The 24,013-nt window shown below is 50.3% G+C and overlaps 3 annotated features.

Annotated features, from left to right (window-relative positions):
• Positions 7,977-8,478: an enhancer, noted in NCBI's record as "H3K4me1 hESC enhancer chr5:141174703-141175204 (GRCh37/hg19 assembly coordinates)". NCBI's record gives its function as "activates a minimal SCP1, AML or CMV promoter by ChIP-STARR-seq in naive and primed H9 embryonic stem cells {active_cell/tissue: H9 hESC(naive and primed)}" and the evidence as "EXISTENCE:reporter gene assay evidence [ECO:0000049][PMID:30033119]".
• Positions 16,112-16,612: an enhancer, noted in NCBI's record as "H3K4me1 hESC enhancer chr5:141166569-141167069 (GRCh37/hg19 assembly coordinates)". NCBI's record gives its function as "activates a minimal SCP1, AML or CMV promoter by ChIP-STARR-seq in primed H9 embryonic stem cells {active_cell/tissue: H9 hESC(primed)}" and the evidence as "EXISTENCE:reporter gene assay evidence [ECO:0000049][PMID:30033119]".
• Positions 16,613-17,113: an enhancer, noted in NCBI's record as "H3K4me1 hESC enhancer chr5:141166068-141166568 (GRCh37/hg19 assembly coordinates)". NCBI's record gives its function as "activates a minimal SCP1, AML or CMV promoter by ChIP-STARR-seq in primed H9 embryonic stem cells {active_cell/tissue: H9 hESC(primed)}" and the evidence as "EXISTENCE:reporter gene assay evidence [ECO:0000049][PMID:30033119]".

Below are 24,013 nucleotides of genomic sequence, written 5' to 3'. Positions count from 1 at the left end.
TTATTTTCTTGAGAAGAAGGTGTGCAAGACACCGCCTTATTTGAAGCTGTCCTTTTGGGATTAGGGATTTTGATGGTTCCAGGCAGTAGCCTTTTGGGAACCAAGTATGGCATTATGGTTAAGAGCTGGTATCTGAGATCAGACAAACATGGTGACCTTGAGCAAATAACACAACCACTTGGACCCTCAGTTTCCTTGTCTGTTCAAGAATAATGATCATGATGACCTGAGGATGCTGTAAGGATGAACTGAGAGGATGTGTATAAAGTGCTTGGTGCAGTGCCTGGCACAGCCAGCCATGAAGCTGAAGATGAGAAGAAGAGAATATAGATGCTGGCAGTAGGGTTTCTTCTAAACACCTGTCCTCCCTGAAGGGCTGGGACAGCCCTGGTAAGATTCAGGGGAAATTAGCAGGCTGGGGATTCAGGTGGGAAGGGTGAGGCAGGGCTGAAGACCTGGCATGATGGCCTCTGAGGCATCTATTCTTTATCCTCTCCCTGCACCAGGACCACCAGATCATGGCTGTTATCCTAATTCTCTTCACTGCCTTTTCCACTGCCCTATCTTCCCCTGCAGCCATGCCTGGTGCTAGAGTTGCATCATGAGCCCAGCCTCTAGAAAAGGCCTGTGGTTCCCCCTCTGCTTTGGCTGGTGTCAGGGGCCTTGCTGAGGGGCCCAAGGGAGGACATTAGGAGGTGAAGGTAGTTCTATAGACTGGAGTCTGAAAGGCAGATTGCAGAGGAAGAACAGTGAGCTGGAGAGAAGACAGAGAAGCTGTGGAGGGTGGAGAGAGAATGCAAGACAAGGAGGCCCTTGTAGTTCTCTCATTCTATGGAAATGAGACGCAGTAAATACTCACTAGATGAGAACTATTATTAATACATATTTCTAAAAAATAATTAAGAAATTCCAAAACGTTCAGTTCTTCAAGATGCTATGGAGCTAGTATCATTCATTCATTATCACTTAGGCATTCATTCAACAAATATTTATTAAGCACTGACTCTGTGTCAGACCCTATGCTAGCCACTGGAGTACAACGATGAGCAAAAACAGACATGAACCCTGCCTCATAGAGCTTAGAGTCTAGTAAGGGAGAGAGACATTGAATAGGCAAATGTACAAATGAAGTAACTTTAAGGCCAGGTGTGGTGGCTCATGTTTGGAATCCCAGCACTTTGGGAGGCTGAGGCAGGTGGATCACCTGAGATCAGGAGTTTGAGTTTGAGACCAGCCTGGCCAACATGGCAAAACCCCGTCTCTACTAAAAATAAAAAAAAAATTAGCTAAGCATGGTGGTGCCCGCCTGTAGTCCCAGCTACTTGGGAGGCTGAGGCAGGAGAATCACTTGAACCTGGGAGGCAGAGGTTGCAGTGAGCTGAGATCGTGCCATTGCACTCCAGCCTAGGCGACAGAGCAAAACTCCATCTCAATAATAATAATAATAATAATAATAATAATAATATGAAAAAACATTAAATGTGCTTTGTTCATTTCATCATGTATTTAACAGTATGTGGGAGAGCAAAACTGAGGGGACCAACCCTAGAGGGCTGGCCAGAGAAAACCTCCCTGTGGAAGTGCTAGTTAAGATAAGATCTAAAGGCCAGATGGGGGCCCCCCCAGTGGCTCACGACTGTAATTCCAGCACTTTGGGAGGCTGAAGCAGGTGGATCACCTGAGGTCAGGAGTTTGAGACCAGCCTGGCTCACATGGGGAAACCTCGTCTCTACTAAAAATACAAAAATTAGCCAGGCGTGGTGTGCACCTGTAATCCCAGCCACTCAGGAGACTGAGTCAGAATTGCTTGAACCTGGGAGGCGGAGGTTGCAGTGAGCCAAGATTGAGCCACTACACTCCAGCCTGGGTGACAGAGCCAGACTCCATCTCAAAAATAAATAAATAAATAAAAAATAAAGGTCGGATGGGAACTGTCCAGCCACAGACTGAAGAGGGAGGGCAGAGGGGACAGTGATACAGAGACCAATGGGCAGGGTCAGCAGGGTGTGGGCCATGTAGGGCCTTGGAAAAAGGTAAAACTTTTTTTTTTTTTTTTTTTTTTTTTTTACTCTTAAGTACAATGGGAAGTTACTGAAGGGGAATGATTTGAGTTTTTCATGATCCCCCTGGTTTTTGAATGAAGAATGGAATGGGGAGGGGGATAGGAGTAGAAGTCACAAGACCAGTGAGCAGGCTATTTCAGGAGCTTACAGAGTGGCGAGCCTCACATAATGTCTACCCTCCACTCAGTCAGGGTCTAGAATACAGTGATTCTCAATGTTGGTTAAGCATTAGACTCACTCAGTGAGTTTTAAGAATGCTGATGCCTAGGCTGCACCCAGACCACTTAAATCAGGGTCTCTGAGGCTAGGACCCCGCATCAGTCCTTTCTGAAGCTCCCCAGATGATTCCAATGTACTGTCCCAACACAATCTCCATCTCCAAGAAGAGGGGGAAGGGAATTCCTTTGACTGAGCACCTACTATGTGTCTGTGGCTATGCCAGTTTAATTTGCTTACATTAGTTCAGTGAATCCCCACCACAACTGTGAGAGATGGGCATTATCGTACCTACTTTATGGATGGGGAAACTGAGACTCAAAGTATTTTGCTTCCCTTCCCCTTGGCCTTGAGAAAGTCACTTAAGCCTCTTTAAGACTCGGTTTCTTTGTGTAAATTGGAGATAATTTCTATTCCATAGAATTGTCAGGAGAATTAAACAAGGCAGGGCTGCCTACATCTGGAACATATTAAGAGTACAATAGATTGTAACTATTATTAGCAGAGCCCCAGGCCCCAGAGTTAGTAAGAGGCGGAGGCAGGCTATGAGCCACCATACTGCACTGTCCCCCATCGCACAGCTGCCAGCTCCACGGAAGGAGGCTGAATTCTGGCTTGTTCCTGTGGATTCCCGGTGAGTCCCAGCCCAGGCACAAGGATCAGAGCACCCTGACCATGCCTCCAAGTCAGCATCTACACCAGACACTCTGCCACACGGTTGCAGTTTCAGTAGGCCCTCTCCTCTTTTCTCTGAATTATGATTCCCCTTCACAAATAGGGGCAAGTGGCTTGCCCAAAGGCATAAACTAAGTTAAAGACAGCTAGGGATGAGGGCAGGTTTCCTGCCTAAGACATTTTCCTCTTCCACAAGGGAGTAGAGGGGAAGATGAGGCTTGTCGCATTGGGGGAGATATTATTAATATGTCTTTTAAGAAATTCCAAAACATCCAGCCCTCTAAGATACTGTGGACCTGATATCATTGATTCATTATCATTTATTCATTCATATCACTACAGTTAGTGCTGGGGCACCAAGAAGGGTGGGTGGTCTGAGGGCAAAGGCCGGGGCCAAGGCACTTCCCAGCGCTGGTGGTGGTTCCAGCAGACCCTGGGTGGACCCAGCACCATGAGAGTTCCCACTGCTATCCCTCATCCCAGAGAGGACGCCCAGCTGGAGCTCAGACGTTTTTGTCTAGGTCTACTCTGCCCATGCTGGGGACCCTGTGGGTCCCCCAGCCATGTCAGTAAAGCAGAGTGACTATGAACACAGGCTCTGAAGTCAGGAAGATGTAAACTTCAATCCCAGCCCTGACTCTTTTGAGCTGCAATACCTGGTATAGGTCTCTTAACTTCTCTAAGCCTCAGTTTCCTCATCTGTAAAATGGAAATAAGTGAAAAATAATGTAGATCAATTTGATTGATAAGGAAGGAGCTCCAATATATATTATTCTTTGAAAACAAAATGAAACCAAGATGCAGAACCGTTTTAATATAGTATGAAGCAAACCAAATGATTAAAAAGGGATATCTCTATGTGGCGGGGCGGGGGCGGGGCTTGCATATCATAGACTATATCAGAAAGTCCACAAAATAACGGAAACACTGCTTCTTTGTGGAGTAGGGCTGTGGTTGGAGTAGGAAGAAGAGTTACTCTTCATTGAGTACGGCTGGTACTATTTGAGTTGTTTACTTTGTGAAGATTTTATTTTTTCAATTAAACTACTTTTTAAAAATTGGGTTAATAATACTTAGAGGGTTGACTTGAGGATTAAATGAATTAGTGCATGTAAAGTGCTTAGTACAATGCCTAGCACAGAGCAAGTATTCAATTCCACACCACAGATATTTATTGGGCCTGTGATAGATTCAACTGGTCCTAATTCTTCACTGCTTCCACCACTTCCATGCCCTTGCCAGGGCATCAGCACCTTCTTTGGCCAAGGGGGAGCTGGCATAGTCGGGCATGCTCTTTTGCATTCCTGTCTTTTATAGAACATGCCTCAGGTAGCTGCTAGTTCAATAAGGATGAGAGATGGGGGCGCAGACCTGCACCCAGTTCACAGGTTGGAACCAAGCCCAGCTGAACCCAGTTTAGATCAACCAAAATCCAGTCAACCTGCAGGAAAAAATACTTATTGACTGCTGTATGACCCTGACTTTCTGGGTGGTTTGTTATACAGCATTACTGTGGCAAAAGCTAATTAATACAGAGCACCTACTATATGCCAGGCCCTATGCTAAGTCCTGTGGATACAGTGGTGAACAAAGCCAGATACAGTTCCTGCCCTCATGGATTTGATTCTCTAATGATAAGAGGGCCATGAGAGCATTTCATGGCAGGGAGTGTTGATCTAGGTAGGGGGTCAAAAAAAGCTTCCCTGAGGACGTGACACTCGAACTGAGGCCTGAAGGATGAGTACAGGTTAACTAGGTAAACTCTTCCAGACAGGAATAGAATGTGCAAGAGCCCTGAGGCTTGAAGGAAGCACGGCTCCTACCAGGGGCTGACAGTGGATGGATAAGAGGGGCAGGAGTGAGAGGAGGAGGTATGGGTGAGATGATTGGGGGTGGGGTGAAGATCAGGCAAGGATTTTTAATTTTTATTTATTTATTTTTGAGATGGAGCCTCATTCTGTGGCCCAGGCTGGAGTGCAGTGGTGTGATCTTGGCTCACTGCAACCTCTGCCTCCCAGGCTCAAGCGATTCTCCTACCTCAGCCTCCCGAGTACCTGGGATTACATGCACGCACCACCACGCCCAGCTCATTTTTGTATTTTTAGTAAAGATGGGGTTTCGCCATGTTGGCCAGGCTGGTCTCGAACTTCTGACCTTGGGTGATCTGCCCGCCTCGACCTCCCAAAGTGCTAGGATTACAGGTGTGAGCCACCGTGCCCGGCTGGATTTTTTTTTAAGTAACAGGAGACTACGGAAGTGTTTGAGAAAAGGGTTTGGTGGAAGGGAGAGGAAGACAAATCAATTTTGGAAGAGGTCCTTTGGACTGCAATTATAAACATACTGGCAGTTATGTTGGTTGAGGCAGTAGTAGAACTATTACAACATCTGTGCCCGACTCTACGTATCTCTGCCACATTGTGATCTTGCTTTTGTTTCCAAAGCAAGAGGCTCCAGGCCTCCAGCCCTTTCCCCAGATTACTGGTGTTCTTGAAAATTTCGGGTCTGGCCAGGCACGATGACTCACACCTGTAATCCCAGCACTTTGGGAGGCTGAGGCAGGGGGATCACTTGAGGTCAGGAGTTTGAGATCAGCCTGGCCAACATAGTGAAACCCCCATCTCTGCTAAAAATACAAAAATTAGCCGAGCATGGTGATGCGCACCTGTAGTCCCAGCTACTCGGGAGGCTGATGCAGGAGAATTTCTTGAGCCAGGAGGTAGAGGTTGCAGAGGTTGCAGTGAGCCGAGATCACGCCACTGCACTCCAGCCTGGGCCACAGAATGAGACTCCATGTCAAAGAAAGAAAGAAAACATAGGGTCTTCTTCATCCATAACATGTATGTTTCCAAAACTCTTGCCCATCTTCTGGGCATCTTGAGTCTCCCAATTGGGCTGGTGGTGCTGGCCTCTGGACTAGTAGAGGCTGAAGGCTGCCCCCAGAGCTCCTGCATCTGAGGCTGGGTGATGACTCCTCCCAGATGGGTGGGAGGGGCAGGAGGCACCAAAGGCCCTGCCATCTGCAAACCTCACATAAGTGCAAATCAATGCAAGATTAAAATTCATGATGGTTCTGGGGCACAACTGCAAACAATTTGTTCAGTAAACTTTGCTCTAATTGGCATTCGTAGAATTTCCTGTTAATCAGGACCCTTGGGCTCTTTGGGGCTGAGATGCTCTGTCTCCCCATGACAGGGCAGGGAGCATGTGTGGGTGGGTGTGAGAAGAAGCAGGAGGGAGGGTGTTCAAATGTGGGTATCTGTAATTATATGCCTGGTATGTCTTGATGTGCGGACACAAGTGACGGAATGGGTGGCCATCTGTAGCTTTGCCCAAGGGGTACCTCTGTGCCACTGTGTGTGGATATCTGTGTTGGGGGATGTGGGGTGAGCTGGTCTGCTGGGGAGTGTGTCCAAGTGTGTGCCTAGGTGTTGGGGTAATGGCTATTAGTTGGGGTATGTGTCCAGGCATTGAGGATGTGCATATCAGAGTGTGTGTGCTGGGGCCTGTGTGTATTTTTGTGTTGGTGCCTGCACACAGTGTTCAGGTGTGGTCTTTGGGTCAGTATCGTACAGGTAAAGTCTGCGTCTTAGTGTAGGGGCTGCTGGGCCCGCAGCTCACTTTGATTTCTCTCTGGCTCCAAGAGAGATGGTAACTGGTGGCAATCGAGTTAGGACCTCAGAGTGTGTCCTGCCCGTGAGTCCCCGGCTTATCCATGCTTGCTGTCACCAAAGCGGACTTGGGCTCCCAGTGGCAACATTCCCCCAACCACCCCTTTCACTAGGGTCCTGTTATCCATCACTCATCATAAACCCAAGACCCAAGCCCTAAAGGCTTTTGAGGGTTCTGCTGACAATTTTCAATGACCTCAAATACAACCAGAACTCACATGAAGAAATACAAGCCACAAATGCTTAATTAAATGCCTACAAAAACCTAACATTATGCCAACTGCAGAGCTGCTCACAGGGCTATATACAAGTCATAGGTAATGTGGGACCTGGTTGTGTTTTATTGTGTGTGATGTTATATAACGTGTATTTTCCAGGAATAAGGAGACGCCAGCAGGTCTAAAGGCAGCCAGCTCCCAACTCTCACTTTCACAGGGAGGGGTCCTCTGCCCTTGTACAGTGATGGGGGTCACCTTGGCGTGCTGAACAGAGACTGATATCCTGATACAGAGACTGGAAAAAGGTGTAGCTATATGTGTGTGTGTTTTCGGGCTTCTGAGTTCCAGGGCTTCCTGCAGCTCTCATCTCTGAAATCTCCAAAGAGTTTTATCCTCAGGCCGGGTGCAGTGGCTCACGCCTGTAATCCCAGCTCTTTGAGAGGCTGAGGCGGGTGGATCATCTGAGGTCAGGAGTTTGAGACCAGCCTGGCCAACATGGCGAAACCCCGTCTCTACTGAGTACAAAAATTAGCCGGGCATGGTGGCAGGCACCTGTAATCCCAGCTACTCAGGAGGCTGAGGCAGGAGAATCGCTTGAACCCGGGAGGCAGAAGTTGCAGTGAGCTGAGATTGCGCCACTGCACTCCAGCCTGAGCCACAAGAGTGAGACTCTGTCTCAAAAAAAAAAAAAAAAAGTTTTATCCTCAAACACAGGGAGGGACTGCAGCGCTTGTGTAATTGTGTGGAAGGGACTGCGTCTTATGCCCAGATGATTATGATGCTTCTTTATGTGTGTGTGTGGGGGGGTGTCCAAGCAGATAACTTGCCTGGGGGTGAGTGCGTTTGGGGGGCTTGTGGGTGGCCCCAGCTCTAGCATCCCTCACAATCATTACCTCAGCAGGAGCAGCTCTTGCCTTGGGCCTACCCTCTCTGTTTCAAGCAGCTGCTGCTTTTCCCCAAATTAACCCCTCTGCTCCAACTTCTTATTTTCCTGCTAGGGGGCCATGGGCTGGCTGGGGAGGGGTCTCTAGGGGACAGTGCCCCCAGGAGGCAAGCTGATCTTCCAAAGCCTTCTGCCCCTGCCCCTGCCCCTTGTCCACAGGGGGTCCTCTTCTTTCTTGCCTTTGGCTGTGGAGAACAGAGATCCTGTGACTGCGGATCTGAGGGCGACTCTGTGTGCATACGCACGAGGCTGGGGCTGGACTGCGAATGGTTCAGAAGCACTATGGCAGGGTCCTGGCTGCCCAGGAGGAGCAGAAAAGGTCCTGAGCCCCTTCTGGCAGTGGGGAAGGGCAAAAAGAGCCTGAATTGCAGGTAACAGGAATGTGGCTAGGGAAGTTGTGGGCCCACCTTAGGCTTATCCAGCAGCACCCAGGAGAGTCAGCCCAGGCAATAGGCATGCAGTACCCCTCTACCTGCCCACAGGGCCAAACCCAGGTGAGGGAGACTGAGGATGTCAGCAGAAGTTGCTGTGGAGAGGGGGAAGCTGGAAGTCAGATGAGAGAAGGGGGAAAGAAAGGAAGAGTTAATCCCAGAGGACCTTATCTGAATGCTCTGTCTGCCACCTCTCTGAGCCTAGGGAGGAAGGAATGGGCATAACAGAATCAAGGTGAGACCTAGGGAAGGTGCAGACAAGGGACCTGAGGTCTGCGGAAGGTGGATGGATAGCTGTTGCCAAGCTGGGCATTTGGAGCTCTTATGGCTGCATGGAAGGACCCTAGGTCACAACCATGCCAGGTGGGGATAGGATATCACCCAGAGCACCTTGGCTCTGACTCCAAGACATTTAAATTCTGCCATGTGTTGCTGGGACATGATTATGAGCAAGACCCAGGCCGGCCTTCATGGAATAAGCAGGCTGCTGGAAGAGGCAGGGAAGTCACCAGCCTGGGATGGGAGAAGCTCAGGGCTATGGTCACCCAGAGGCAGCACATGACCCAGCCTAGGGGTCAGAAAAACTTCTTTTCTCTGCTTAGGCCTCAATGATTATAGTAACAACATGAGTTATCATTTGTAATAATGGTAACAAATGATTACAATACTGAGCACCTGACACATGCAAGCTATATGATCTCATTTACTTTTCTTAACTGCTTTGTGAGCGAGGCACTCATATCCTCATTTTACAGATGAGAAAACCAAGGCCCAGAGAGGTGCAGTACTTTAGGAACATATAGCTAACAAGTGAGAGAACCGAGATTTCAAGTCCACCAAACCTACAGTATTTACCCACATTGGGGCACAGCCTCCTGGGGTCCTGAGTCACCTTTCCTTTTTTACATTTTATTTTAAAATTTGTATTTATTTATTTGAGACGGAGTCATGCTCTGTCACCCAGGCTGGAGTGCGGTGGCACAATCTCGGCTCACTACAACCTCTACCTCCCAGGTTCAAGCGATTCTCCTGCCTCAGCCTCCTGAGTAGCTGGGATTACAGGCACCTGCCACCAGGCCCAGCTTTTTTTTTTTTTGTATTTTTAGTAGAGACAGGGTTTCACCATGTTGGTCAGGCTGGTCTCGAACTCCTGACCTCAGATAATCCACCTGCCTCAGGCTCCCAAAGTGTTGGGATTACAGACGTGAGCCACTGCACCCAGCTCTGAGGCAACTTTCCTAACTTCAGCAGCAGCAGTAGCAGCACAGGCTTCTGGGAACCCCTGCTGAATCTAGGCAGCCGGCCTGGCAGCCTGGACCAGGCCCCAGTGAGCAAGATACAGAGGAGATTGGGAGGAGCAGGTGAGTCCTCAGCCCCATGTTTGCAGAGACTGACATCAACCTGGCCCTGTTTTCATTTGCTTTTTGGTGGAGAAGGGAAAAGGCCCACGTTTTATGACACTAGCTTGTGATTCTATTTTCTGTTTAAATTCTGGGTGAGGGAAAAATAAGAGACATCAGAGAAACCTTCAGAATCTCATTTTGAGAGTCTGAGCTGCAGATAAATGAGCCTCCTGCAGAAACGCTACATCAAAGCGAATTTTCTCAGCTGTATTTTCTTTCTTTTAATAGGGCCATTTACTACATTAATATTCCAGGAAGTCATTTTAATTTCATGTTTATCATCCATTGGGAAAGTTAAACAGGATCAATATGTAACCAGTGGCGCATTGGGGGATCTTGGGGGAGAAGGGGAACGTTCAGAGGCTTTGGTGATTCCACATCTGGGAGTCCTTAGGAGGGGAAGGGTGGGGAGGGGAGGAGGCTGGAGAATGGAAGGAGGGATGAGAGGGAGTGGGGGAGGGGAGGGGAAGCACAGGGGAGTTGTAAGGTGGTAATTGTCTGAACATGCATTGGAACAATTATTGAGCATCTACTAGTGTGAGGCATTGCTCATGCCGTAGGTTTTTTAATTCTCACAATGACTCATGAGATAGGTATTCTTATTCCCATCCTTACATATGGGGAAACTGAGGCTCAGGAAGTTTGTCACATGCCCAAGATCTTAGAGAACTCTGATTCATTCCTTCAATAAATATATGTGAAGTACCTGCTATGTGCCAGACATTTACCTAGCAGCTGGAGGCTTTAGGTCAATGAAAGTTAATTTACCAAAAGCCTAAGGATCCAAGTCAGATCCACTGAATGTCTCTTTTGGTGAATTGTCTGCTTCTAGCGATACAGGTGGGCCCTGCCTTTATGGAGGTTATAGTCACGTGGGGAGACAGGCTTTCATCAAATAATCACACAAGGAAAGAGACACGCAACCCTGTGGTAGAGGCTCAGGGCTTGAGAGCCTGGAATCAGGGGCTTCCTCCAGAATAGCAGGTCAGGGAAGGTTTCCCAGGGGTGGTGATGCTCCCACTGAGACCTGAGGGCAGCATGGTGGGCAGCTGTGTGAGATAGAAGAGCAGAGGCAGTTCCAGGGAGCGAGAAAAGGGGTACTGCAGTCAGGAGGAGCAAGGGACCTTGAGGGGCTGCTGAGGTGGACGGCAGACTGTGATGGGACCTTCTGAGCCAGGGTAAGGACTGGGGGAGCCCCAGAAGGCCATGAGGCAGATTTATACCCTGGGTCAAGTTGTTTGACCAGGGTCCTCTGCCCTGGGCTCTGTAAGGCAAATGCCTGGACAATGGAAAGAGAGAGGGATGAAAGCAGTGGATCTCCAATAGAGCCCCGAGAGAGGGGGCTGGAATTTTTTTTTTTTTTTTTTTTGAGACGGAGCCTTGCTCTGTCGCCAGGCTGGAATGCAATGGCTCAACCTCGGCTACTGCAACCTCTGCCTCCCAGCTTCTAGTGATTCTCCTGCCCCAGCCTCCTGAGTAGCTGGGACTACAGGTGTGCACCACCGCGCCCGGCTAATTTTTGTATTTTTGGTAAAGATGGGGTTTCACCACATTGGCCAGGATGGTCTCGATCTCTTGACCTCGTGATCTGCCCGTCTTGGCCTTCCAAAGTGCTGGGATTACAGGCGTGAGCCAGCATGCCCGGCCAGAGTTGGATTTTAAAAGGAAGGGATGGGTCTTCAGGAATTGAGAGGTGGAAGGGGTAAAATCCTCAGAATCATCCGCGGTGATTGCTTCTTTCTCCCATTCCTCACTTTTGATGATCAGCTCATCCTGGGGGCTTTCCCTTTCGCAATACATCCAGAATCAGACTTCAGCATCATCTGTGTCACTACCTCCCTGAACTAAGCTGCCACCTACTCTCACCTGGGTTTTTGCAATAGCTTCCTAACTCTCCTCTCTGCTTCTGCCCTTGGCCCCCTATAGTCTAGTCTCAATACCGCTGTCCCAGCTATACCTTTAAAACATCAATCAGATCATGCCTAAAACCCTCTGATAGATTCTTGTCTCATTCAGATAAAAGCTAAAAGTCCTTACAAAGACCATCAAGACCCTACACTAGCTGCACTTCCTCTGGAATTTGTGACTCCAATTCCTACTATGCTACCTTTGCTAACACAGCTACTCTGGCCTCCTTACTGTTCCTGTAACACGAACAGTGCAGTCCCACCTCAGAGCCTTTGCACTGCTGTTTCCTCTTCCTGAGCAGTGCTGTTATCCTGAATATTTGCTCACTCTTTTGCTTCCTTCAAGTCACTTTCTTGGTGAGACCAACTCAGACTGCCCTGTTTGAACTGCAGCCCTTCCCAATCAGTGCTCCAACCCCTCCTCTGTTGCCTCGTTTTGTTCTATTGTATTTACCTTCTCTAATATAGGTTATAATGTACTTATTTGTCTTGTTTATGGTCTGTCTCCCACTAATTGTAAGTTCCACAAGGGCAGGGATTTTTGTTCATTTTGTTCACTGTTCTATTCCCAGTGCCTAGAACAGCACCTCTGTGTCATAGGTCCTCAACCAGCCGGATAAGAAGGGACACTTCCCATTTTGGAAGGCAGAGAGCAAGGCTTCAAAGGGAATGCTATTTCTGTACTAAGTTGTTTTAAATTTATTTTTATTTCATTGGCTCCTAACAACAGCTCTTCATGTTGACAACGATTACTGGCCCCATGTTACAGATGACGCAGTTGAGGCTCAGGGAGGTAGTGAAGAAAGTGGGAGAGCCCGGGCCTAGTGCCTCATGCCTGTAATCCCAGCACTTTGGGAGGCTGAGGTGGGAGGATCGCTTGAGGCCAGGAGTTTGAGGTCAGCCTGGGCAACATGGCAAGACCCTGACTTATTAAAAATAAAAAAATTAGCCAGGTATGGTAGCACACACCTGTAGTCCCTGCTACTCTGGAAGATGAGTGGGAAGATTGCTTGAGCCCAGGAGTTTGAGGCTGCAGTGAGCCACAATCACATCACTGCATTCCAGCCCGGGTAACAGAGCAAGAGAAATACTGTCTTAAAAAAAAAAGAAAGAAAAGAAAGTAGGAGAGCTGGAGCGTCTTTCAAATCTCAAAGGATAGGTGCTGGTGCAGGCTGCCTGGGCTGAAAGACTGGCACCTCCACTTTCCAGCTGTGGGAGCTTGGACAAGCTTCAGTCCTCTCTGTGCCTCAGTGTTGTCATCTGCAGAATGGGAACGATCATACTACCTACCTGCAAGAGTTGTTGGGAGGATTAAATGAGATAATACATGCACATTCATTTGCTCTGGCTACATGGAAGGTACTCAGTAATGTCAGCTATTATTATTGGAGCTGCACTCTGCTGCCTGAGTCAAGCCTCTTGGCCACTCCCTACCCAGCCAGGGGTCTCCATCCCATTTCCACAGGGGACTTCAGGTCAGCCTAGGGCTCTGCCTTCACATGGTGGTGGTCAGACTTGTCCAGTTCCATTTGTTTAGGAGGAATTTAATTTCTCCCTAAGCCGAGAGTCTTCTGCCCCCTCCTGCCCTCTCTCTTGCTCTCATCAGCTGCAAAATGAGCTCTGGGAGCTTTCCCCCTGGTCCAGAAACCCAAGGTGAAGAATTTCATTAACAATCAAGAGGACATAATCAACATTCTAATAATTCCAGATCCACACTCCCCTTTTGCAGCCCCTCCAAAGTGCCCCCATCCCCCAACTCCACCCTGTTCCTGGCTCTCCCAGACACACTCACCTTGACAAAGAAATCTCATTTCTTCTCCAGCAAAATTTGCTTTGCTATTAAATTCAGCACGTTACCTCCTGCCCTGATGATGAGGGGACGTACTCCGGACTTGTCAGAATCCTGCTTCGGAAAGAGACACTAGTGGGAACAAGGACGTCACGAGGGACTTGCTTCTCTTACTCCTCCTGGAAGCTTCCAGGGTGGGGTCATACACTTTCCCCCTAGGTCCTCAGGAACCTCATACCAGGTAGCCAGAGAAGCAGAACTTCTCCTGGTGTGAGGGGAAGATGGGGTACTCTAGTGATTTCTTCTCCAGGCCTGCTGAGAATCTAGAGGTGATACATGGCCTTTTCAGTGGGCTGCATTTTACCCACCTTAAAGCCCCTACCCCAGCCTTTAGGAAGATCTAGCCTGGACCTCCTTCTGGCTGTATAACCTTGGGTAAATTAATCCTTCCGAGCCTCAGTTTCCTTATCTATAAAATGGGAATGATAGCAATCATGCCTCTCTCTCAAGGTTGCTGGGGGAATGAAATGAGATCATGCTTAGCAGAGTGGCTGGTGTGGACTTGGCACACAATCAATAATAGCTGCAACTATTATAAATGCAGTAGTGTCTTTGGCACTTGAAGTCTGCAGCACGGTACTGCCACCCCGCCTCTCTCCTGCCTCATTCCTTTCTTCATACACTTGGAATACATGATTGAGTTTTTATTGATATAGTGGTGTCGAGGCTGAATATGTTCAGCAGGCATTTATTTACAGTACAGTGTGGTCAGTGCTATGGCAGGCTAAGTCCTGGGGGCCATGACAACCCACACCCATAAAGGGTGTGCCTCAGTGGTAGTCAGAGGCTTCCAACAGGAGCTGACTTCTGAATTGAGACCTGAGGAACAGAGAGAGATTTGCCTGGAGATAATGAGTGACGGAGACTCTGAGAGTAGAGACCATCAGCGCCCAGGCCTGGAGGGGAGAGCAAGCAGGGACCCCAGGACCTTGTGCAATGGGAGCTGAGGCCAGAGTGGAGGAGTTTGGCTTTTATCCTGAGGGCAGTGTGGAGCCACTGTAGGACACTGAGGAGAGCAGTGACATGGGTGTTCTTATAGAAACATCTGCCTGGTTTCAGTGCAGGGACTGGAAGGGAGAGGGGTGAGGGTGGGGAGTGAGGAGGTCAATGGGCCTGGGCTGCAGAGATGGAGAAAAATGGACATGTGCCTTCCAGGAGTGATTGTGGCCAGGGCTGGAATTCTGATGATTGCTGGCTGAAGAGTCTGGCTTGCGCACTCCACCCCTGGAGGGTGCCTGGAAGAGGCACATGGGTTGAGGGGAGGTTTGCACATCTGGACCCTGGGGTGGAGGCGTCTTGTGGCCCAGGTCCCTGTCTGGGAAGGGGCTTGAGGGAGCCTTGGGGAGCAGGAGGCAGGGTAAAGAGAAGGAGCCCAGGAATCCCCTGCAACTCTGGCTTGGCCCAGCTGAGCTCTCTATGCAGCTGGAGCCACAAGGATTCCAGGCTCAAGGGAGGCTGTAGCAGGATGTTTAATTCTCTAATCTCTGAATCCTCCTGAAATCCCTTTCAGCCTTGCACAGCCCTCTGGCGCATCTCCCGATGGTGGCTGGTGGGCACCTCCTTGTGCTTCTTGCACACATACCATGCCCCCTAACGCATACATCCATACACAGATGCACACACAGCATGTTTCAGGCTCTGATGAGCCCTGGTAGAAGGGAGGCAGGGAGTTAGAGCGCACCTAGGAGAAAAAGGAGGAGGTGGGAGAAGTAGGAGAGAGAAGGAGGGGAAGGAGGATCTTGGAGGCTCTCTGGTGGTGATAAGGTGGTGAAACTCCCAGCTCCAGTTTCCGTGGCTCAGGATGGGATTAACCTGTTAGGGTAGAGGGGAGAAGGGAAAGGTGTCACTGCACCAAGTGGCAGGGAGTGTGCTCTCCCTAGTGGAGCTTCAGTTGGGTATCAAACCTCCAGACCCCTTCTCTTCTAGCTCCCTTGGGGCAGATGGCTCTGTGTCGCCTCCCCAAAGCCACCTCTGCCCTTTCCCCTCCAGAGGATCTGCAGCAGGTCATGTGTGTATGCACGCACATGTGTATGAGAGTGTGTGTGTGTGTAAGCTTTAGGAGAGGGAAGTGTGGGGGTGTAGAGGGAAAGGAGAGGAAGCAAAGCCTAGCCTCCCCTTCTAACACAGACAGACAGGAGGGACTGTTCCCACACTTGGGGGAGGTAAGACAGATGGTTGGTAGCCTCCCTGAAGGTCTCTCTCTCTCTCCTCTCTGGGCCCCAATCCTCCCTCCAAACGGCAGCCCTATCACCCTCCTACCTAAAATCTTTCTGTAGTTCTTCAATGCCCTCAGAATAAAGTCCAAGCTCTCAAGCCAGCCTCTGTCAACCCTCCAGCCTCTGCTCTCGACACCAAAGCCTCCAGGCTTCTTCTCAGTCCTGTTCCTTCTGCTTAGAACATTCTCCATGTCCAGCCCCACACCTTATCCTTGTTTATATGGCTAATTCTTCCTCATCCTTTAGGTCTCAGAAACTAGAAAGCTTTCTCAGACTATACCTGCAAGCTAGATAACGTTTCTCCTTTGGGTAGGTACCCCAGGGCCACTGCTGGCACCCCCAACCCCTACTGTCATTGCCTGTGCTTCCTCCATCCTAGCCCTGATCACTTTGTGTTGTAACTCTCAGGGCAGGAACTTGCCTTGCTAGAATCCTTAATGCCTGGCATGGTGCCTAGGACTCATTAGATATTGGTGGAAGAAAACCCCAGGAATTACCCAATGGTAATCTTTCTTTTCTGCTAGTAGAAGCATAGAGAAAACTGAAACGAATCCCAATCCCCCTCACTTTTTTTTTTTTTTTTTTTTTAAAGAGAGAGTCTCACTATGTTGCCCAGGCTTGCCTTGAACTCCTAGACTCAAGCGACCCTCCTGCCTCTGCCTCCCAAATAGCTAGGACTACAGGCATGTGCCCCCACGCCTGGAAGAATTCTCTATTTTTGAGGCCCAGACAGTGGAAGGGACTTGGCCAAGGTCATACAGAGGGAGTATCTGAACCAGGAAAAGAACCCAGGAGTCCTAACCCCAGACCCTTGTCCTCCCATGGTGGAGGGGAGGCAGATGGCAGGAGGTGTAGAGGGGTTGCAGTGGGGAGAGGTTCAGTGGGAGGATCCCGCAACAGCAGGGCCAGTGATGTGTGTGCAGACATGCGTGTGCTGTGATTCATGGCTGGGCACCCTCCTCAGGCCCATGTTCTTGGCTGGCCCACAGTGAAAAGGCCCAGCTCCCTGGAGGAGCCCACCTAGAACTGGATGGTGGGGGTGTTGGGGAGCAGAGCTGGCCAGGCCCTGGGATTGGGGGTTGTTGACGTCATCTCAAACCCCTGTGGAAGCTGACAGTGAAGACCCGGGGGGCAAGGCAGGCACTGGGGATGCAATCACAGGCTAATAGCCTCCCAGCCTGAGATGCAATTAGGGGCAGATTCCCAGTGGGCCTGGAGGCAGTGGGAAGGGCAGTTTGTTGTTTGGAGGTGGGAGTGGGGCCTACATCTGCAATCCTGCACTCAGGTTCAGAGGAGCCAGAATGGGAGCATGGGTGGGGTAAGGAGACCCCCCCAAAAGAAGTAACGGTTGCAGACATGGGTGAGGCAGAGGGGTACTTGGAGGTAAAGCATCATCATGGAAGATTAATAATTGGGAAAGTTACTTCCCCCAGACCCCGGATGTAATAGTGAAAGAGCCAAGCTAAGTTACTTTAGGTCCTTAGCCTTTCTGCCTGGTGATTTCCCTCCCTGTAAGATGGGAACAATAATAATAGTATCTATCTTAGAGAGCGACTGTGGAGGTTAAAAGAGAAAAAACATATAGAGTGCTTAGCTCACAACCCGGCCCTCACCAAGTGCTCAACGATCATGATGATGCTTTAGGGAGGTGGTGTCACATACTGGGCACTACAGGAACCTTGGAATCATGCAGATCTGGGTTCAGATCTCAGCTTTTCCACTTACCAGCTCAATGACTTTAGGCACAAGACGGAGCCTTGGGTTTGTTATCGGTAGACAGAACCAATAACAGTATTTACCCCAGCCAGGGGTGTGATAGGGGATGTAAGCTGCCTGGGACTCGGGTTCTCCCTAAATGGTAGCTGCCCCAGCAGCCATGCCACTTCTCAGGTCTCAGATCACAAGCCTGGCCCAAGATCTTCTGTCCCCGAGACCACGAGGCAGCCCTCTCTGACCCCTACGTCTGACCTTGGGTCCAGCAAGGGCCATACCACTCCATTCTATCCAAGATAAAGGTCTGGAGAGCTGGCTTTCAGCTGGAGCCTTGAGAGAGACCAACAGGTACACCTGACTGTGGTTGGAGGGCAAGCTGCCTGCTGCAGCTCTGAAAGCCAAGAACCTGCTGGACAAGTTCAGTATTCCCAGAACTGCAGCCCCAGGCCCAGGTCATCAGCTTGGAAGGGAATGGAATGAGTGGGGAGGGATGATGGTAATTTGAACTGGCCTTTATCTATAGTGTCTTCAGCCCTTTATCTACATTGTCCAGCACGATCCTCATAACAACGCTGTGAGGAGGGTACAGGAATCATCCATATTTTACAGATGAGGAAACTGAGGTCAGAGGTGAACCCTGGTCAGAGGCTGCCTAACTAGTCAGTGGCTCAAACTCAGGATTGTCCCAGAGCCTGGGCTCTGCAGTTAGCTCAGCAGTTTCTGAGCTTAGGGGAAGCTCAGAATGGGGGAAGCCATATTGAGTAGGATCCCCCCATGCCCAGTTCTGGAGGTCTAGAGGAATACGCAAATTGGATCTGGTTATATTAGCAGCCCCCCTCCCCCACTCCCCATTCAGATGCTGGTGATCCAAGACCTGCACTTGAAGAACTCTGCCCTAGGACCACTGGGGAAAGGCCCAGGCTGGTATCCAGACTGGGCCAGGAGTATGGGTGTGGCCCCTGCATTCCAGATTCCAAGGTCTCTCCCCACCTGCCGGCCCACCTGGAATTAGTCCAGGTGCTTTGAGATAAAGAGGAAATCCAGTCCCAACCCTGCCGAGGTGGCTGCTTTGGGGTCAATATAAACCTGGACTTCCTAGGCCCTGAATCTCAGCAAGCTGGGCCCAAGGTGTCCGCTTGTTGGTTGGTGGAGAAGGTAGAAATCAAATCAGTGGCACCCAACTCCCTGGAAGAGGTGCTGACCTAGTTGCCCTCCCTCCAGCTCCAACACAGGCTTTGGAAGAGAAAGCCACACGCCATCCCCAGGGCCCAGCTCAGTCAGCCGGGTACAGCAGCAAGAGCATGTGTTGTCTTGGGCCTGGGTTCAAATCCCAGCCCTGTTACTTACCGGTTGTGTGGCCTGAATCCCAGTTTCCTTGCCTGTAAAACGGGGATAGTGGACTCTACCTCTGCAAAGATTAATAAAGAACATTTGCAAGGAAAGCACAAGCATCCTGCAAATGTTTGTTTTCTTTCCTCTCTGGCAACTGAAATCCACCATTAGCAGCAGAGACATCCCCAGACTCCTCTTTAAAATGCACAGAGCTGGGAAGAGAGGGACAGTTATTAAGTCCACCTGAGATGAAGCACGTGCAACGCTCTGACTTTCACAGCTGTAGGATGGAAATGATTATGTTGTTCCAGTTATTGAGTTACTGACACCTGAGAAAAGCAGGCCTGGCGGGTCCTTAGAAAGCAGATTCTGGTCTCACTCCCTTATTTTAAAAAGGGGAAAGGCAGAGAGGAGGAGCGGCTAGCTCAAGGTGACCCAGAGTCAGGGACTGGAAGAGTCAGGCTCAAATCCAGTTTGCCTGTGATTTTGCTTATGCTAGGATAGACAGGTGCTGGGAGGCAGGCCCAGGCTCCTATGGGATGGGAGGGGCCCTAACAAGGTAGCCCTGCTGCTGCTGTCCACTTCCCTAGCCCTTGGAACAATGCCTGGCACATAGTAGGTATTTATTGAATAAGGGCACCCAGTAGGCATTTATTGAATGAATGAATGAATGAATGAATGAATGTGGTGACAGGAAGACAAAGGCACCCTCCCATAGGAAGGTATCTCTGTGAGACTGTGGTCACCTTGATAAGGGGCCCTCAGGGCCTTCCCAGGGCTGAGCCCACATGTCCATCTCGTCTCCTCCAGATGGCAGCTATGAGGGCAAAGGAAGGAAGATTCTGAGAGGAGAGGAAGCTGCAGCCAGGGGGATGGAGGTTAGACAGCAGGCGAGTCATGGGAAGGAGCGCAGAACGGAGGCTGGGGATGGCTTCTTCCATCAGAGCTCTGTGAGGGAGGAGTGGGGCTGTGTGTGTGTCTGGGGGAAGGCAGGGGAGCTCTGTGAAGCTGTGGGGCACCTAGGGGAGCCCTTGAATCACACTTGCTAAGAGTCTGAGACACCTGGGGGGCTCCATGGGCAAAGGCCACCTCCACTCCTCAGAGGCAGATCCAGCTCAGCTCTGGCTGCTGAGAATCCTGTCGCCATGGAGATGAGGAGCTGGCTCGTCTGACAGCATTGGCGGCACTGGGCGTGGCCTGCCCTCAGCATGATTTGCAGGTGGGGGTGGGCAAGTTGGGGCAGCAAAGGGATTCCGTAGGACTGTGTCAGGTGCAATGTTGACTGACACATGCAATGTGGCTGCTGCTGGCTTTACAGTCCACTGACATGGGCCTGCATCCCAGTTATTAACTGGCGGCCCTGAACAAGGGCCACAGCATCTCTGAGCCTCAATCCCAGCATCGGTAAAATGGGGTTGGCAGTATTGTTCGCACGGTAGTTGTGACATTCACTCGAGCCTGTCAATGGGGAGTACAGTGCTGGGGCACAGCGAAGACTCAGTAAGTGGTGACTATTACTTCTTAATTGGTGTTAGGATTGGGGCCCTGCAGGAGCCTGCCCCAAGGCAGCAGCCCCCTGCCCTCAGCCTGCTCCCTGGGACTCCCAGGTGAGACTGGAGAGAGGCCTGACTCCTTTTCCACAGACAAAGGCGATCAGGAGTCAGGAGTTATATCATCCTTTGAACATGGGCCTGGAGGCTCTGCCGCAGGCGCCTCTGAAAAATAAATAATAACAACGTGAATAATTCACAGAATCTGTGTGAATAATTCACCATGGCCTCCTAAGCACCAGCCGATTAGTCACCGCAGACCCAGGCTCTGGTCTTGTCTGCCTCAGGCTGCCCCACTGGCCCTAGGGAGTGTGGCCTGGCCACAGGGGCAGGAGGTGGAGGGCATGTGGGGACACTTAGAGGAGCCCTCTGGAGGCTACAGGGTCCTGAGGGGCAGCCAGGAGATAGGGCTGATGGTCTCTCTGGGTTTTACAGAGACCCACAGGCTGGGGAAGTCAAAGGGGACTGGCCTAGGGTCCCCAAGTGAGTGGGACCCTGCCCTGGCCATATCAAGTCGCTTTCCTCTCTGGGCTGCATTTTGGAGACTTGGACTTACTATATTTTAGTAGCCAGTAACCAGCCGTGGCTGGACAACACTAATGCAGCCCCATCTCTACAGGGACCCAGCTGCACCTCTTAGCCCTGAAATAGATCTTGAGAAGCTCACACAGCCCTGTCATGTTTCTCTTGGGAGTTAGGACAAGGTAGGGGTGAAATGTCCCAGCTCAGGACTCAGACATCAGTTGAACCCTCAGTTGCCCGTTGTAGGACCTGGCCAAATGGCTCAAATGTTCCAGGTCTTCATTTCCTCATCTGTAAAATGGGGATTAAAAAACACCCACCTCGTAATGTTATTATTATTCTGCAGATGAAATGATGTAATGACCATAAATTGCTTTGTGCAATGCCTGGCACATAGTAAGTGCTAAAAAACAGTGGCTGTTATAGATAGATATTTGTTATCTTTCCAAAGATAGCATATTGGGGATTCAGGATAAGAAGAGGGATGCTCAGACATTGCAGATGTTCGTATAAAACATGATCCGCAGGCCCAAGAGATGGGTATGGTCTGCCAGGCTGTTTGTTAGAGTGTAGGGGGACTCCGAGATCCTCTAAGTATACACTCCACTCAAAACACTGAGTCTCCTGTTTGTTTCCTCCTGAGCACTTGCCACATTTGTTAGTTGTTTTCTTATTTACTTTTATGATCTGCCTTCCCCACTAGATTGTGAGCTCCACAAGGACGGGGACCTCATCTGTCTTGTTCTCCATTTTATCCCCAGTCCCTAGACTATGGCCTCGCACATAGTAGGTGCTCAGTAAATGTTTGTCAACTGAATAAATGGATTCATCAGGAGGCATGAGATCATGAAGGGCTGCAGGAACAGAGTCTTCATCATGGGTAGGGCAAGAGGGGCTCTCAGACAGTTGCTGGGTGTGCAGCTTAGAGAGGGGAAGGTGGTTCTAGGGCTGGCCCCTGGCAGACTGGCTGCTGGTGATGCTGCAGGGCTGTGATGATGCCCATCTGCCCCTTTCTTCCCCACTTCCCAGGTAAGCTCTCTGAAAACCAACAGTACAAGGGAGGCTTAATGGTGGCACAGGCTTGCTGCGTCTTCCCCAGTAATGATTTAATCATTTGTTTAGAATTTCCTGTGGCATTAATGATTATCCCCCAGAACGGGGGGAATAATTGGCTGTGTTCTCTTGGTGAGCGAGCTCCCTGTTGGCGGGGAGCTGAGCCTGTTCTTCTGTATTCTTCCTCTCTCACCTGCCTGCCACTCACTTGCTGGGTGATGGAGATGGATGAGCTCATGTGTGCAAAGGGGCTGGGAGGACACCTGGAGGCTGCAGGGAGTTGGGCGACGGGGGGACCGAGAAAGAGATACACAGAAATGCAGAGACCGTGGAGAAGTAGCAAGAATCAGAGACCGAGAGAGAAAATGATATTGCGAGTTTGTGTTCTTAGGCTGAGTAATCCCCAAACTGAGCTCACAGCTTCAGTTCTTCCTAGTAGCTTCACTCCTCATTTTGCAAAACCTTCTGTGCATGAACGTGTACTCTTGTGTGTATGCACATGTGGGCATCTCTAGAGCAGTGGTTCTCAGAGTGTAGTACTCGGGCCAGCAGCATCAGCAGCACTTGATGTGCTTGAAATGCACATTTTCAGGCCCCTCCCCAAACCTACTGAATCAGAAACCCAAGAAGTGGGGCTTAGCACTCAAATAGGATTTCTAGGTGATTCTGGTGCACCCAAATTTGAGAAGCCCTGTTCTGATGTATACAGTGTGTAGAGATGTGTGAGGTGGATGCATGTGCCATGTGAACATGGCCACGTGGACACACATGCGGGTGTCTGAGCATTGGAAACTGCAGCAGCAAAAGCCCAGGCAGAAATCAGGCCCCTGCCAGAGAGCCCAGGGGTGCCTGTTATTTGGAAGAAGGGGCTCAGGTCCAGCAGCAACTCCCCCATCATATCCACCTACCCCTTGGTGGCCACAAGACTCCACTACCTGGGATAAGAGGGGGCTGCTGTCCCTGCCAAGGCTTCCATAAAGTTGGCCTGTCAGCAGGATCTGCGGGGAGCTGCTAGTCTCATCCCTGACACTCCAGCGTGGCTGAAAGAGGGACTGCATCCTGGCCCCAGTACTCTAGGGATTTATAGTCCTAGGGACCCGTCCCGCTCCTCCTTGCTGCTCTTGGGCCTGAAGAAGTGAGTTTTCAGGGATTAACTGATTTAAGGAGGATTATGCAGGGCTAGGGGGAATGAATTATCAGCGGAGAGAACCGCAGCACCCACCTGCTGGAGCAGCCAGCAGTGCAGCATCACTGAGGCCTGCGGATGATATTTCAGGAGGAGGTGGGTAGGGTGAGAGAGACCCTTCAGGCTCTGAGGGTAGCTCCCAGGTGTGAAGGTGCTGCGTTGGGGAGGGGAGGGGAGGGGAGGGTAAAGGATAGGGGAGGAAAGGAGTCTGGGGAAGGAGGGGGCCGGTGGAGGAGGAGGATGAATAATTTGGTTAGGTAGAGGGGGAGGCCACAGGAGGGTGGATAGACTGATAGAAGGAAGGAAGGGAGGGAGAAGGGAGGGGTGGGTGAAGAGAGCACAGAGGGAGAAGCTCTGGATGGAGAGGGGAAGATAAGGAGAGGTGGGGATGCCAGGACAGTCGAATAAAGCAGTGCAATCTCAGGGGAGTCTGTAGGGAAGCTGGCGGGAGGGAAGTCACTAGGGAGTGGGGGCTCCATGCTTCGGGAGGAGGGGTGATGGGGGCCTCTCCCACCCTAGGCTAACCTGAGGGAAGGGGCATGGGCTTGAACTTCACAAGTAATCTTAGAAAAGTGAGCTGATTATTGAGTTTTGTATTTAACAAGACAAAAAAGTGGAAGGAGTATGAATAATTAGGAAGTAATGAAGACTTTGCAAAAATAGCATTTTATTTTTAAAAATTAGCAAAGAAAATATTGAGAACATGTGCAAATTGGCCATCTTGGCCAGGTGAGTGAGTCAGCAACCCCTGACAGCCCAGCTGGGCCTGGGGATGTGAGGAGGAAGCAGCCAGGCGGCCAAATCCTGCCAGAGAGTGGGTGGGGACGTTGACATCATTCACCTCCCCCCTGCTTCCCAGCCTGCGGCTTGGCTCACTCTGCTGGGGCACCTGGGACCCATTTGGGGGGAGACCGTGGCAGTCCCCAGCATGATGCTGACCTCAAACGTCTAGGCCCAAACCCCCAGCATCTCTTGCTTCCTTTAATTACCACTGGGGTCCTGTCATCCATTAATTTTGTGCAACCCTTTCTGAACTCCATTCTATTTTCAGCTTGTGAAGACCCCTTG

The sequence above is a fragment of the Homo sapiens genome, chromosome 5 (genome assembly GCF_000001405.40).
Source record: "Homo sapiens chromosome 5, GRCh38.p14 Primary Assembly".
NCBI classification, from domain to species: Eukaryota; Metazoa; Chordata; class Mammalia; order Primates; family Hominidae; genus Homo; species Homo sapiens.
Note: the sequence above shows the minus strand (reverse complement) of the source record. Positions and strands in the feature narration are given on the sequence as shown.